Consider the following 15,379-nt stretch of genomic DNA (forward strand, 5'->3'; position numbering starts at 1 on the left):
ACACCTGTATAACTACCACCCAGATCAAAATTTAGAACATTTCCAATACCCTAGAGGGCTTCCTCATATCTCCTCCCAGTCAATAACCACCACCTCCAAGATAACCATTCTGACCTCTAATTATCATAGATAACTTTTGCATGTCTTGGAATTTCATATAAATGTAATCATACACTACATACTCTTTTGTATCTGCCATCTTTTGTTTGACATTTTAAATGTTAAATTCATCCATATTGTATGAATAGTACTTTGTCCTTTTTCATTGCTGCATTAACGCAAATGCAATCGAATCATTGAATAAACATGCCTGTAATTTATTTGCCTATTTTACTGTTGATAGACATTTGGGCAATTTTTAGTTTAGGCCTATAGGAATAAGGTTGCCATGAACATTCTTGTACATGTCTTTGGTAGACACAAGCACTTTTTGTTGGATATAAACTCCAGTGAGTCATACAGCATAGGTATCGTTAGCTTCAGCAGAGACTGCCAAGTAGTTTTCCAAAGAAGTTGTATCCACTCCACAATTTAAACAGTTTGTTTACCAAATAGCCACTGAGTACCTATTATGAGCCAGCCACTCCACTAGGCATTGGGAATACTGAGAGGAAGCATGCACGTCCATGGCCTAGAAGCGCTAATAGCCTGGTAATATCAACAGATACTTTTTAAATAATATGGTAAGTGATAGGTGAGAGGTGTGCCTGACAGGAGGATCCTTTGGGGCTCTAAGGTTAGATTCCCCGACTCCAGGTGACCAAATGGAAGCTTGGCCAGGTAAAGAAGGGATGGCATTCGAGGAGAAGGTTGCAGAGGCTCCTCTAGCCCCTGCCAAGCCCTGCAGGCTCTTCTCTGGCTGGGAGTCTCATTAATGGAGCAGCCAGGCCCAGGCCAGGCTGTCAGGAGCGAACAAACGGCTGCCAACATGAGCAATGATTTAAAGGAGAAGGTTAAGACGTCGGTGAGATGAATACCATTGACTTCGCTGCCATCCTGGAAGCAATTCATCAGGGCGGCTTGGCAAAGAGGGGCATAAATCCCTAGCCAGCGAGGCCAAGCAGGGCTCTGGGAGGAGGAACAGGATGTGATGGCAGCTTCCAGAGCTGTCTCCAGCTGGGCCTGTGCCAGCATTTTGAAAAGCGTCAGTTGGGAGGAATCCCCAGAAGATGACTTTGTAGCTAGGGTCCCTCCTGTCCTGAGTCGTGGGTCACCGAGGAGGACACCCTCCCTAGTCACTTGCTGTTTGTGCTTCCCATTCTGTGCACCCACTGGAGGTTTTTCTTGAAGCAGGCTCTGCATTGCCTTCTCCTTCTCTTCAGCCTGAATCTTGGCACTCCTGGAGACTCTTGGTTCAAATGATGTATTTATTTTCTTAACGAAAGGGAAAGATTTAAGAGTGGGTGTGAAATGCATCCTCCTCCCTCCTCTGACCCTCCCACGTACTTCCTCCGGCAACCTGAGGCCCAGCTCAGCAGACACTTGGGAAGTCAACAGAAACAAACATGGAGTGGGCATTGCAGAGCACGTGAGTGGATGAGAGATTTTTATGAGTGAAATTTGCTCACAAGCTTCTTTAATAATGTTATTCATCTTTCTGTCAAAGTCATCACATTAATGTAGCTGGAGAGATTTAGAGGAGATGAATTAAGACTTAAATACACAAAATGACTTGGGGAATATTTAAATACAATACATTTGATTCTGGTGCAGCATCCTTCCTCACGGGTGTTGCTCATGACTCTTTCCAGGCCCACACAGCCTGGGAATCAACAACTCCCCCTCTCCTGCCGCCTCCCTCCAATGCTTCATTCATCCAACGCTTCCTGCACCTACCATGTGTGAACTCATTGTCTCCACAGAGCACATATACAATAGCCTGGGTGCCTGTTCTGGCTTAGACAGGCCACTTTTCCTTTGGGTACCTCAGTTTCTTTATTTGGAAAATGGGTGGGGTTGGCTCTGAATTTCAAAGGATGCAGAGATTCCTTAGAGACAGTTGCAGGGAAACAAAGGGAGCCCAGATGCAGAGTCATGGACCCTCTCCCATCCCTTCATCACAGTTCATTGCTATCTACCTGTACGTACTGGAAGTTGTGTATTATTTTATTTAAAATAAAAACGCTTTGGCTTTAAAAAAGAAACTATTTCTTCCTTTCTTCCTTCCTTGAGTATTTAGTGAGTCCCTTCCCTGGACTAAACATTGTGTTAAGCATTCAGGATAGTCACTAAGCAAGTCTGACAGGGCTCCTGTCCTCCTGGTCGGGCAGTCCAACTCACATTCCCTGGTGGTACAACTTAGAATAAAGAGCGTGCTGTTACAATTAAGCAGAGAAAGCTTCCTGAAAGAGGTGGGCTGCAGAACTCCTGCCTCTCCATTTGCTGTGCATGCTAGACTTCTGGGCAGACAAAGCTCCTTTCTTCCCAGGGGAGTGGGAGACTCAGCTCTGGCTGCAGAGAGGGTGAAGTGAGGACATCAGACTAGAAGCCAAAATTAGAGGCAAGAAGAACAGCCCAGACATTGAGCACCCACTCAATGCATCTCCCCACTGTCTGACTGGGCCCAAGCCAAGAGCCAGAGACCTGGGGACGTTGCAATCCTATTCCCTTCTCCCATCCACCACACTCGCCCCCAGCCCACACCACAACTCTCACCATCCTCACTTTGCTCTCCCACCTCTCCCCTTCCTCTGCTTGGAGTGGCTGGAGAAGGGGAAAGGGACATCTTCTTGGATTGGAGCCCTTCCCACCCTACTGGCCTTCTCTGACCTCTCCTGGAGCTGCTACACAACAGCAGGGGCAAGGCCTCTTCCCCTGCTGTCCTCCAAACCTCCCACAGATCATTGCTTTCAAGGCAGGGCCAGAGGCACCCCTCAACCTGACCCAGATGGGTTGCTCAGACAGGCTCCAGATTATGTCATAGGGGGCACAAAAAAGTAGTAGACTGGCGAGAGCCCAAGAAAGCTCTGATGAGTTGTTTTTGCTCTTCCTTCTAAATCCAGGTTTCTCAACGATGCTTTCTGTGTGAGTTTTAGGTTCAAGAAAAAATAAATATACTCAGGCTGCTGAGATTGTTGCAAGAACACAGGAATGCAGCCTGATGAAAAGACAGGCCTGGGAGCCGCTCAGGGGCCAACCAGCTTTTGAGACAAGGTCAGCAGATCATGCCCCCAGCAGCAGGCCTTGCCCCTGACCTAGAATCCCTCCACAGAAGAGCCTGGCAACTCTCAGCGTTTGCTTCTCTGGCTTCTACCATCACCAAGGAGCTCAGCAGCCAAATCTCTGTACCTCTTACATTCAGACTTCTGAGGGAGAGTACAACAGATGTGGCTAGTCACCATCTGGGACTGGCCACCACTCACTGGGAAGGTTTAAAAGCCTGACCACCACACAGACCACTGGCAGGCTGGAAATTGGCTACCCTGGGGTCTGAGGCCTCCTCCTGGTTCCGTAGCTATCGTGAGAGGATAGGTTAGGCCTGGCGTGGGTTTGGCACAGAGACCCATGCATAAGAAACCCTCAGAAGAGAGCTTGAGGCTTGGGGTATGGCAGAGCTGGGGTTCCCCAGGGGGAGCAGGCCCGAGGGGACAGTATAACAGGCAGCTACCTGTTTACTCCCCAGGATTCCAGGGAAACAAGAGGGTGGAAAGGAAAGGGATTAGGATTCAGAGCCTGAGGCTTTCAGAGTGTGAGACACTCACAAACCAGGTCTATGTGTGATTCTCTGCTTGATCTCAAAGCAGCTTACACAAAGAAAGAATCATAACTCTTCAAGAGTGTGCCTCATTTCTGTTGGCCATGTTAGTCTGCAGTGGTGAGCCAGAATGCAGATGTCAGGGTAACAAAGCTTAGAAGGAGATGTACTCAGAACCTAGCACAAGGGGACAGGGTGGGCCCCCAGTCCAGAAAAACCAAGGAGAGGGGCTAGCACACAGTCAGTAGGACCCATGCATTTCTTTAGGACCTCAGCACCGCTCTAGGGGAACATTCCAGGCTGTGTGCTTCAATTCAGAAAGTTCCCAGGAAGAGCAAGATGTTCCACCCCTTTTTCTCTCATTTGCACTGAGTGGGGAGATCTGGCTGTTCCAAAGTCCATTCCCAAACCCTTCCCTTTGCAGGACCTGAGGCCAGACTCCAGGGAACATGCTGACCCTTCTCAGATAGATGTTACTTGCATCCCATGGCTGTGTGTTGGCTGTGTGTTAGTGATGAACTTGAGCGTGTGCTGGGTCATCCACACTCTCTTGCTGGGACCCCTTTGTCCTAAAGGAGATGGGTTTGTAATTCAGCTGGCTGGGGAGAAAATAATGGATCCCACAAAACCTTCCCAAGAGCTGAAATTGTATGAGAGTCATATACAGGTAAACCGAGAACTACTGCTTTTTCTCCCTAAGTCCCTATAAGAAGCCAGGGCAAATCTATAGTTCAGTCAATTGATGGTACAAGGGACAGGGAAAGGCCTCTTCAGTTGCTGCTGGGCTTCCCAGCCTATCGAGGAGACGTTTTATTTTTTTGGAGGCAAGAGAGACATGAGATGACTCCATGAAGTCCTGCTAGGCCTGCCCCCCCCCCCCCCGCCCACTGATTTCTATCTGAGAGGGGCTGGAGGAGTCCTGGGGTCAGCATAAGGTGTCTCTGACTTCATGCAATAGAACCAGCACATCGTCACCAGTATGTCGAGAGCAAGCCTCTAATACCCAGGCCTTAGTGATATTTGTACTGATAGAGTCTTCCACCCAACACTCTTCTTTTAGGCTCATGGAGAGGATCTTTCAATCCTTCCAAACAAGAATGCAAGGACAAGCTCACCTCTTTATTGCCTGCCTCTTTGCCTCTGCCTATCTGTACCCCAGCAGTAGGGGGGGTCCAATATCATTGCTCCTGGAATCCTTGAGCCCCAGACAGATGGCAGTCAACAGCCTGGTGACACAACAGCGGCTCTTGGTGGCCTTCTCAAGCAGCAGACGGGCAATTTATATGAAAGCATGTTGTAAAATATCTGTTGACACTGAAGCTATTGTTCTGTTATTGTTGTTGTTGTTGTTGTTAATACAACACCCTTGCCACTCTCAGAGAATTGAGAGTGGGAATGTTCTTCAAAGATTACAGTCCCCCTGGAGACTGGCTGTCTTCCAGAGGTATCTATTTTTAATTTCACTAATGCTTTTCTTCCAAGAGGACACAGAAGTCCCACCCAAAAAGGTAGGACCTACCTAGAGTTCAGTCTCATAGCTTGTTGGACTGCCTGTCCTAGGAATAGAATTTAAATGAATTTATGCTGGGCAATAAAATATATATTGTAATATAAATGTATAAAGTACAAAGGGTCTTGTCTTCCACTCCACCTTCCTACCACAAGCCCATGAACCCATGTCCCCGAGCCTTTGGCAAATTTGATCCTAGATGCTAAGCTGACACAGAACACCTTCAATCCATGTAGCTTGGTGTGGTGATGACAGCGCTAGGCTAAGAATAAAGAAACCTAGGTCAAAGTCTTGATCTCCCTTTACCAGCTTTGTGCCCTTGGGTGACCCTTGGGACCCTTGATTTCTTCAAAAGCTATGTAACAATTGCTATGGCCTGAATATTCATGTCCCTCCAAAATTCACATGTTGAAATGTGAGCTCCCAAGGGGATGGTATTAGGAGATGGGGCCCTTGGGGGGTGATGAAGTTATGAGAGTAGAGCCCTTATGATTGCCATTAGTGCCCTTGCAAAAGAATCCCCAATAAGTTGGATAGCCCCTTCTGCCACGTGAGTTCACAACAAGAAGGCGCCATCTATGAAGCAGGAAACGAGCCTTCCCCACACCCCAAATCTGCCCTGATGTTAGACTTCCAGACTTCAGAACTTTGATAAATATATTTTGTTGTTTATAAGCTACCCAATCAATGGCATTGTGTTATAGCAACCTAAATGAACTACGGCAACAATAACACCTATTATTATAGTTGGGAGGACCAAATAAGATAATGGAGATACACTCCCAAGACCCAGGGCATACTGAGGGCTTAATTAAATAGTCACTGAATTGGAGCTGAAGAAGGCTGTCCACACAAAGTAGGTAGGATTCCAGGGAAGGGCTTGTGGGAATGTGTTCTCCACAGGTTGAGGGCAGAAAATGGCCAAGTCTATGCTACGTTTAGACCTCGTCAACCACTAATGAAGGGAAACCCAGCTAGAGGCCCAGCCATAGGACTTGTCAAATTCTAATATATGGAGTCTATAAAAATCAACAACACTCTCCCATGGATTCATTAAAGCAAACAGACCCTCTTATTTATCAATGCTATTCACCCCAAGTGAAGATGACAACAATCAATTAAATAAACAAATCAAGTTTAAAAAAGCTTAACTGAAGGCAGATGTGATTAATTTCCTCATCATTGATTGACATTAACTATATTAGCCAGTTTTGCTATGGTAACAAACAACCCCTAAAATCTTAGCGGCTTATATCTTACAAGCATTTATTTCTTGTTCACAGAGCGTGTTGGCAGCTGCAGATGTGCTTCATGAGTCTTCTCATTCAGGGACTTAGGCTGAAAGGGCAGCCCCTAATTTGGGACCTGCCGATCTGACAATAGAACTGAGCAAGAGAACTGACCGAACACGCTGTACTCCTTGTATCTTCTGAACTGACTCATATTCCATGAATCCAAGTGAGTCACATGGCCAAGCTTGATGGGGGTGTGGGGAGCTGGCACACAGGGGCAGGAGGTGGGGGCATAGAATATAATCCATTTTCTTGTTTGTTTGTTTCAGATGGAGTCTTGCTCTGTCGCCAGGCTGGAGTGCAGTGGCGTGATCTCGGCTCACTGCAACATCCGCCTCCCAGGTTCAAGCGATTCCCCTGCCTCAGCCTCCTGAGTAGCTGGGATTACAGGCACCCACCACCATGCCTGGCTAATTTTTGTATTTTAGTAGAGATGGGGTTTCATCATGTTGGCCAGGATGGTCTCGATCTCCTGACCTCATAATCCACCCACCTTGGCTTCCCAAAGTGCTGAGGTTACAGCCATGAGGCTCTGCACCCGGCTATATACTCCATTTTCTAAAGGCCACCGCAAGCCACAGGGAAGCCGCATGGATGCACAATGCTCTCAAGGGGAAAAAGTGAATATTCTAGAACAACAGTACAATCCACGACCGTGAATCTGACCCTGTCCTTCTCACTCCATACACACCCACATGGATTTTCATAGCATTCTTATTTAGAAGATATTCTATGTCCTATTAATATTATCTTCATGTATTTGATGTATTTGTGGGGGATGATTTGCAGCACAGGTCATATATCTGGAAGTCTTCTGAACAACTAGGAGCCCCTTCATCCAGACAGTCTGCATGCTTTCTCCTGTAATCTTTCCTGCTGGCTCCCTTCATAGATGCCTGGCCTGTCTGGGCTTCCCTTCTCTCAAACTGGGCTCACTTACTAAAGTGACCTTTCTCTTGACTAGGCAGCTACTTTGATGACCTCCTCAAATGCAATGCAAAAGCTGGACTCTCCTCCGCCCCCAAGCACTCCCAGGCTCCTGGGCAGGGCCATCAACTCCACTCCAGCCATCCCTCCAGACTGGCGCCTGAAAAATAGAATTTCTGCTTCAGGTAATACAGCTGCTTCTCTCTGAATAATGCATGCCGTGCACCACACCGGACAAAGGACAAGCGGTTGAGAAATTGGGGAGCTTTCATTTGATTTCATTATTTTGCTTTTAGACCCAAGCATTTGCTGCCGTCAGGCATTTCAAAGAGGACAAGACAACAAGGTGTTCTGAGACAAGCAGAGAAGATCAGTCATCCTTGGGGACTGAGGGGATTCAGCAGAGAAGGCTGGGCTGGACAGCCCTTCCCAGGGACACAAGGACCTAAAGAGGCACCTCAGTGGGTGTGCCCCATGGGGGGTATAGGAAGGCTTGAAATTTTGAGTAAACGGACTCTCAGGGGGATGCTTCCATAGAGGCTGGGGGTGAACACCTCCATCTACATCAGTTAGTGACAGAGGGGAGCAGAACACATGGAGAGCTGTGAGACGGCAATTAGGAATCACAGAATCCAAAGCAAAGGATCATCATTAGTAGAGTAAATGGCCCTTGATGAAGGAAACTTGACTCCAATAAACAGGTGGAGTTCAAGCCAATGAATTAGCCTAGCTACAATAAAATCAGACACCCACCAGCCTGCTCCTACCTGGTTCAGTCTTCCCATAGTACCTGCCTGTGGGGTCCCAATGTGAATCACGTTGACCCTAAAGATGTCAGCCTTAAGCACATCCACACCTCACTACCACAGTACACACAGGCTCTGCTCTCACAAGGTTGGCTCTTTCTTTGTGCCTGAAGAGCACACATGAGTTCTCATCTTGTGTCCATGCCATTGCTCACATCCATGCCCCGACTGGAATCCTCTCCCTACTCCTCTCTGTCTACCCAGATGCTTGCTATTCTTTAAGGAGCAGCATGGGTCCTACTACTATTTAAGCACTGAAGCTCACATTGATCTCTCCCTTCTCTCCATTTCTACAATTACCTCCATGAATGGCCAGTTTGTATTATTCTTGATAATTATAATAATACATTATTTCAAAGCATTTCCTCTCTGGTCCTCACGTTATGCTGCTCAGAGCTATAGGGTACTCCTGGGTGCCCCCAGGGCCAGGAGGTGGCTCACCCTCAGGACATAAGCCTCATGCTTATGTCCCTGCCCCCTCTAACTACAGCAGCTCAGCTCTTGATCTGTGTTTCATTTTAGAGTTTCACACACAATTTTTTTCTGTTTTAAAAGGGATTGCACTATTGATTTAGAAACTACATTTTTTATTTCATCCTCATGAGAAGTTTGTGAGGCTTGTAGGACTAGGTATTATCACCCACATTTTGCAGCTGAGGAGCCCGAAGCTCAGGGAGATAAACTGTCTCATCAAGAGCACACAGCTAAGGGAAGAAGGAGAATCTCGATTTCTGTCTTTTGAGTCTAAATCCAGTGTATTTACAACCCACACTTGGGCTTATCTCTAACCTAATTGTTAACTTCTCTCAGAAGCAGAAACTGAATTTTTATTACTTATTTATCTGGTTTTCTTGCTTGCTTGCTTGCTTTTCTTTTTTTTTCTTTCTTTTCTTTTTTTTTTTTTTTTTATGGAGTCACCCAGTCTGGAGTGGTACAAATGGTACGATCTCAGCTCATTGCAACCTCTGTCTCTGCGGTTCAAGCAATCTTCCTGCCTCAGCCTCCCAAGTAGCGGGGACTATAGGAATGCACCACAATGCCCGGCTGATTTTTGTATTTTTTGTAGAGATGGGGTTTCGCCAGGTTGCCTAGGCTTGTCTTGAACTCCTAGTCTCAAGTGATCCACCCGCCTCAGCCTCCCAAAGTGCTGGAATTACAGGCATGAGCCACTGCACCTGGCCCTTCTCTGTTTGCTTCTGATTCCGAACATGGTTGTGGGCACACAGTAGGTGCTTACTACTTACCTAGCCTTGATTGCAGGTGCACCCTTGGCTTTGCTGGAGATGCAAGGCCTGACCTCACCTCATGCCTTTTTTAGGCAGCACATACCTGTGAGCTGAGTGATTTACAAGGCTGTACTAGGTACCTGGGCATTTTATGTAATCAAAGGGATACTTTGCTGCTCTCTTTCTCTTGCTGTTGACATGGTTACAAAATCTTATTATTAGCCCAGAGGATGGGGTAATAGGACATGACATTCACATTGTCAGTGTTTTAAAGAGCTGTAGTTACCTCCTGGAGAATAATCTGTGTATTGTAGCAAGCAACAGTGCTGCTGCTGCACCTGGTGCAGCTTCTGTTTTCCGGCTCCCTCTTCATCCTTCTGCAGTTCTGAGAATGAGGCGTTCCCACCAGGAGGCAAGATCGGGTATCGTTCTTGGCCACCCTGGCCACACTGTGGGAATACACCACCATCCCTGTCCTCATGACCTGGGGAGGAGGTATGCAGGGAACCACCTTTAGGTAAGAGAAGGAGCAGAAGCAGTGGGCTGACTCACAAAGAAAAAAAAAAAAGATAAATCAAGATAAAATTGTTTCTAAATTGAATGTTTTTCACTATTTTCAGTGTGGTATCTGCAGTGCTCCAAGATGATTCCCTCTCGAGGGCTTCAGAAAAGCTGTAAATAGAATGAATTGCTTTTAGGGACTTAACTCTGGTAGTTCACTTCTCAAGAAAATATATGCTAATGCATGTAGACTATCATTATTGGGGAGACCTATGTCCCGACTCTTTTATGTCTATGAAGAGCAGGTTTCTGATTGCTAGCATTTTGCCAAAGTCTTTGTCATGCGTGGGCTGAATATCTAGCAGAAAGAGGCGGATTCAGCCGCAGCTACATGCTGTGTCTCTCCTAGGCCAAGTTTGGAGGGGGGTCTTGGTTTGCCTAAGAGAAGTTTCTTATGAAACCAGAAAGAAGGAAAGCACAGATTTTTCTAACAGCCCCAATAAAAGCCAACGCGGTCCAGATTCATCTGCAATTCTGGGACCTCAGAGAGGTATAGAGACAGGGAGACCCCCGCTCCAAGGGATGGGGGAACTTCCTTGGTCCAGCAGGATGCGGTGCTACACCCAGCCAGAGGGTGGCAGCACCTCCCACACGCCCCATGGCTGGCTTTGTTTTCTGACCATTCCAGGGCACTGCTGTGGGACCGCCTTCCCCATGCCCAGCGAGCCTCTTCTGCATCTCTTTCTGCTGTGGCAAAGTGGGTTAAACAGCGCGCGGATTTGCGAGGAACATAGCCAACAAATGAGATATCAAACGCAGCTTCCCATGTAAGAGATCAGACTCCGGCGGGCACGCACGCCGGCGCTCTGCTGGAGCTCCTTGGCTCTGCAGCCAGCTTCATTTAGGATTCATAAATACTTTTGCGCACTCCCGCACATACAGCCGCCAAAGGAATTTCATTCTGTATCATCTGCATTCAAATGCAACAAAGTGAAAAAAAAAATGTGGACATTAAAAAGAAGGAGAAGAAGAAGGAAGAGGCTCTGAAGAAAATCTGAGGCTCGGAGTGGTGGGTGTTGGGTAGCTGATGACTTGAGGAAGGCTTCCTCTACCTCTGTGTTCCTACAGAGAAGCCTGTCCCTGACTTCAGTTCACCTGTCGCATGGTGGGTGAATGCAGCCTAGACCTGCCGGCGTGGGGTATGCTTTTCAATGACACTTTTAAAATAATGAATTGGATGCTTGTCAAGGTAGGCATCAACCTTAGATAGGTATCGGTCCTAAAGTTCCTCCTTCCAGCTGCTGGGGAGCTGGGACCTTTTGATCTCCAACTTAGGCCTCAGTTAGCAAACTCAAATGCTTTTGGGAACCAACCCGGGGAACCCAAAAGTATGAAGCCAGTCAGGTAACCGGAGCGTTCCCGCTCAGGCCGAAGAAGGGAGCAGCTACTCCATCCCAGCTGGTTATTGTCAAGTGAGAATTGTTATCAAGTCCCCCCATTTATCAAAAGAAACCAGAAACACATGTTTCGTTTGTTTGTTTGTTTTGAGATGGAGTCTCGCTCTGTCGCCCAGGCTGGAGTGCAGTGGCGCCATCTTGGCTCACTGCAACCTCCGCCTCACGGGTTCAAGCAACTCTCTGGCTCAGCCTCTCAAGTAGCTGGGATTACAGGCACCTACCACCACGCCCAGATAATTTTTGTATTTTTAGTAGAGACAGAGTTTCACCATCTTGGCCAGGCTAGTCTTGAACTCCCGACCTCGTGATCTACCCGCCTTGGCCTCCCAAAGTGCTGGGATTACAAGCGTGAGCCACCGCGCCCGGCCCAGAAACACATGTTTTTAAAATGTATGAAATCTGGTTTTAAGTAATAAGCACCAATTTTTAAACTATTAAATACTCTGTTGGTCTAACAAAACAATTCCAATAGATTACACCTTGTAGGAATTCTACCCTAAACACCCTAGTCTATCAAAGACTTACCTTCTGTCATTGTTTGAAACACTTATCTATGTCTCATAATTTGCCAGGTTTTATTTTTCTGACTTGTTCTCTAGCTTTTCGTTGTTTGCTCAGCAAGACTATATGCATTTCAAGGGCAGGGCATGTCTTATTTTTGTTTTTTCCCAGTAGTTCTCAGCTGATGGTAAAAGCTTAGCAATTTTTAGTTAGTTATAACCTAACCTACCCCATTCCACAAAATATTTGACAATTTCTACATAAATGCATGCTATAGAAAATAAAATAATTAGATGCATCAGAATAAATAAGTGGACTTGGCCTTCTAACCGAGTGCTTTTATAGACATGGTGCTTGAGTGAGTTTCCTCAGGATAATATCCAAATGTCTTCCTTAGATTATAGGCAGACCCAGAAGCTTGGGAGGGTCCCTGGAACATGGGAAAAGTACACATAGTGTGAATAAAGACAAGGCAAGTGCAATGGCCTTGGAGAATGAGTTCTGTGAATAGTAAGGCAGAGAGATCAGGATGTGAGATCCACGACCCACCTGGAACTAGGAACCAAAATAATGAATGGCTGCCTCTCTGTGGAGCCTCTTTTGGTTGTAAGTGACAGACATAAAATTGAAACTGGCTTAGGCAAAAAGAGGAAAGTATTTGAAGGATGCTGAAATAATATCCTTCCAAGCCATAGGACAAGAAAGGATTCATTTGGACCCACAGGAAAATCTGAACCAGACATATCGTGATAACTCTGTGTTTCATCTCTGTTTGTTCTTCATTTTCTCTCTGTGCAGCTTCATTTTCTCCCTCAGCAGCAGGCTTCCTCCATGCATTAGGGAACAGAATGACCAACAACCTGCATGCCTCCCACCTCGCAGCTTCCACCCCTAGAGAGAACTGCTTCACACTCTTCTCATAGCAAGGTGGAAACCCTTGGGGAAGGGCTCTGAATGTCTCACTGGAGTTTAGATGCCCACCTCAGAGCCATCCCATTCAATGATGACAGCTATGATAGGGGTGGCCATGACTGACCTGGCTTTGGAAAGATACCCACACATGGAGTAACAACATGGCAGCCTTTATTTAAACCACATGATTCCTTTTAGGAGGGAAACATTTCCAAGAAGAAAAGGACACTTCCTAGAAGAAGGGAAGATCAATTGTCCCTGAAGTTCATATGGCACTTGGCTACAAATGGCTTCTATTTGTATCATCTCATTTTATTTATTTTATTTGTCCCTCACAAAACTGTGAGTAATGTAGGGTATCTATAATTGTTCCCATTTGACTGGTGGAATAAATAATGTTAAGAGAGACTAAGCAACCAAGGTCACACACATAGCTTTGAAAAATGGCCAATCCAGTACTCAACTCATATCTTTTTTTTCTTTTACTTCAATTCCAACACTCATTCCACTATACAGGAGGTGAGTGGGAAGGTTGTGACTTTCCAGAAAAAGAATTTTTTATTGCAAGATCATGCTTTCCTGAATAATATAAAGCCTGGCTGGTAGATCTCTAACTAGGCTGCTCCTCCTCTGCTCTTCAAGGTTTGCTGGAATTTCCTGAGATGCAAGCAGCTGACCTCAATGGCTCTCCCTGCTCAGTTTAAGGATTTTGTTGTCTGCCCAAGATCCATATCCAAAGATTCCACATCCATCCCTACTCCACTCCTGAGTGTGTAATTTGGGGTATTTAGAGGTACTTCTGCCTTATGAAATGACTGGAGCCCTCTGGGCCACAAGCATGACTACCCATTGGAAAAGAACTGAGACAGGGGAGAAAACACTGCTGGGAATGCAGTACCAACTGAGATGAAGATGATCCTTTCCATTTTTTCAGCTGAGAGCAGCACCGCTTGCCACTGGTGGATGGCACAGCCCTATATTGAGTACTATGGCCATGGTGGCAAGGTACTTGGCATCTTCCATGCAAAGATGAAAGAAAGAGGCCTTCTCGCCTGTATCACCAGAAGACTCCTGTAGACTCACTGTCTCATGGTCTCTCTTGCTTTTGAGGCAAATCATGAACATGCATCTTTTCTCATCCTGCCGATCGATGCCCAGAGAAGTCCTGGATCTAATTGATTTGAGTTGGATCAGCCAGGCCCTGTGTCCAAGCTGCCTCGCCTCAGTGTAGTAAGTGCAGCATATTAAAAAGAAAGAATTACTCCTGACGCCAGGATTATATCATTGCCAAATGCATCGATAATATATGAAAGATGTGGAATAATATAACACTACTTATCAATTGAGGGAAGCCATCCTGAGGAGGAGGCAAGTAAGGTTTCGATTTCACTTTCTGGATGAACCCTGCCCCTCCATCCCACAACAATTTGCTGTTCCCTAGGTTTGGCCTCATGCATAATTCAGTGATCCGCATGGCAGGAAAACATTTAGAAAACTTCTTTTGCCTTCTCCAGGAGGCTGGGGCAAAGGTGGCTTACAGCTATTCATCCATGCAAGGAAAGCTATCTCTGCTGCAGCCCACTGGAAGAGACGGGGCCATGGCCTTTCTCATTCCCATTTGGGGACTTGCCTAAGGGTGACATAATGAATTGCTCTGACCCAGTCAGAGAAGAAAAATACAGGTTGGATGAGATAAATTGATGCCACCCCAGTCTTTCCAGCAGTGCTGGTGGGGACAAACTCCTGCCTTGAGGTTTTGCTTTCTCAGAAGAAAACAGTAGTGTTTTTATGCTGTTGACGAAGGTGAAGGAATAGAGTTCTCTGGGGTGTTACAGGGAAACTTACATGAGTTGGCTGGTCTCTAATGTTACATTTATTCATCTTAAAAATTTAATGATCCTCTGCTATGTTCCAGGCACTGTGCTAGGTCCTGGGAATATGTTGAAAATCAATCTCAAAACACTCAGAATGTAGTAGGAGACACACACAAGTATATAAACTATTGTATTTTGCATCTTTGATGCCTGAGATGTTAGAATCATTTATTGTTTTTATTTATTCTTCAGGTAGATATTTTTGAAACACCAACTATGTGCCTGAGCCTGTACTAGATACTGAGAATACAGCAGTGAATGAGACAAGATAAGGTTTCTAGGGAGGAAGATGAACAATAAACCAGTACACAAAATACATGCACAAGATAGTTACAGATTGAAATATACCCTCTGAAGGAAAGAGTGGATGATATAATAGAAAGTGAAGGGAGTGGGGGTAACTTGGGATAAAAATATCTCTCAGAAGAGGTGATATTTGAGCTGAAATTTATGGATTAGAAGAAGCCAGTCATGCAAAGAGATAAACGAGGAATAACGTTGACAACAATGGTGTGGCAGTAAATGTTTTACAGCCAGCTCTCAGGGGGAAAAGAAAGCCCTGATTTGCAGTGGTTGCCAGTTACCATGGTGTAAATACTCCCACATTGCCAGTTTAAAGTTGCCAATGTGATATCCCTTAATGCAGACTTGGGAAGAGATGTGTACAATGGATCGTCAC

At 45.9% G+C, this 15,379-nt stretch overlaps 3 annotated features.

Annotated features, from left to right (window-relative positions):
- Positions 496-997: an enhancer, noted in NCBI's record as "H3K4me1 hESC enhancer chr11:115850711-115851212 (GRCh37/hg19 assembly coordinates)". NCBI's record gives its function as "activates a minimal SCP1, AML or CMV promoter by ChIP-STARR-seq in naive H9 embryonic stem cells {active_cell/tissue: H9 hESC(naive)}" and the evidence as "EXISTENCE:reporter gene assay evidence [ECO:0000049][PMID:30033119]".
- Positions 998-1,497: an enhancer, noted in NCBI's record as "H3K4me1 hESC enhancer chr11:115851213-115851712 (GRCh37/hg19 assembly coordinates)". NCBI's record gives its function as "activates a minimal SCP1, AML or CMV promoter by ChIP-STARR-seq in naive H9 embryonic stem cells {active_cell/tissue: H9 hESC(naive)}" and the evidence as "EXISTENCE:reporter gene assay evidence [ECO:0000049][PMID:30033119]".
- Positions 6,093-7,292: an enhancer, noted in NCBI's record as "CDK7 strongly-dependent group 2 enhancer chr11:115856308-115857507 (GRCh37/hg19 assembly coordinates)". NCBI's record gives its function as "activates an origin of replication core promoter dependent on BRD2, BRD4, P300/CBP, MED14 and CDK7 cofactors, with strong dependence on CDK7, by STARR-seq in HCT116 cells {active_cell/tissue: HCT116}" and the evidence as "EXISTENCE:reporter gene assay evidence [ECO:0000049][PMID:35650434]".

Source organism: Homo sapiens, chromosome 11 (assembly GCF_000001405.40).
Source record: "Homo sapiens chromosome 11, GRCh38.p14 Primary Assembly".
Classification (NCBI taxonomy): domain Eukaryota; kingdom Metazoa; phylum Chordata; class Mammalia; order Primates; family Hominidae; genus Homo; species Homo sapiens.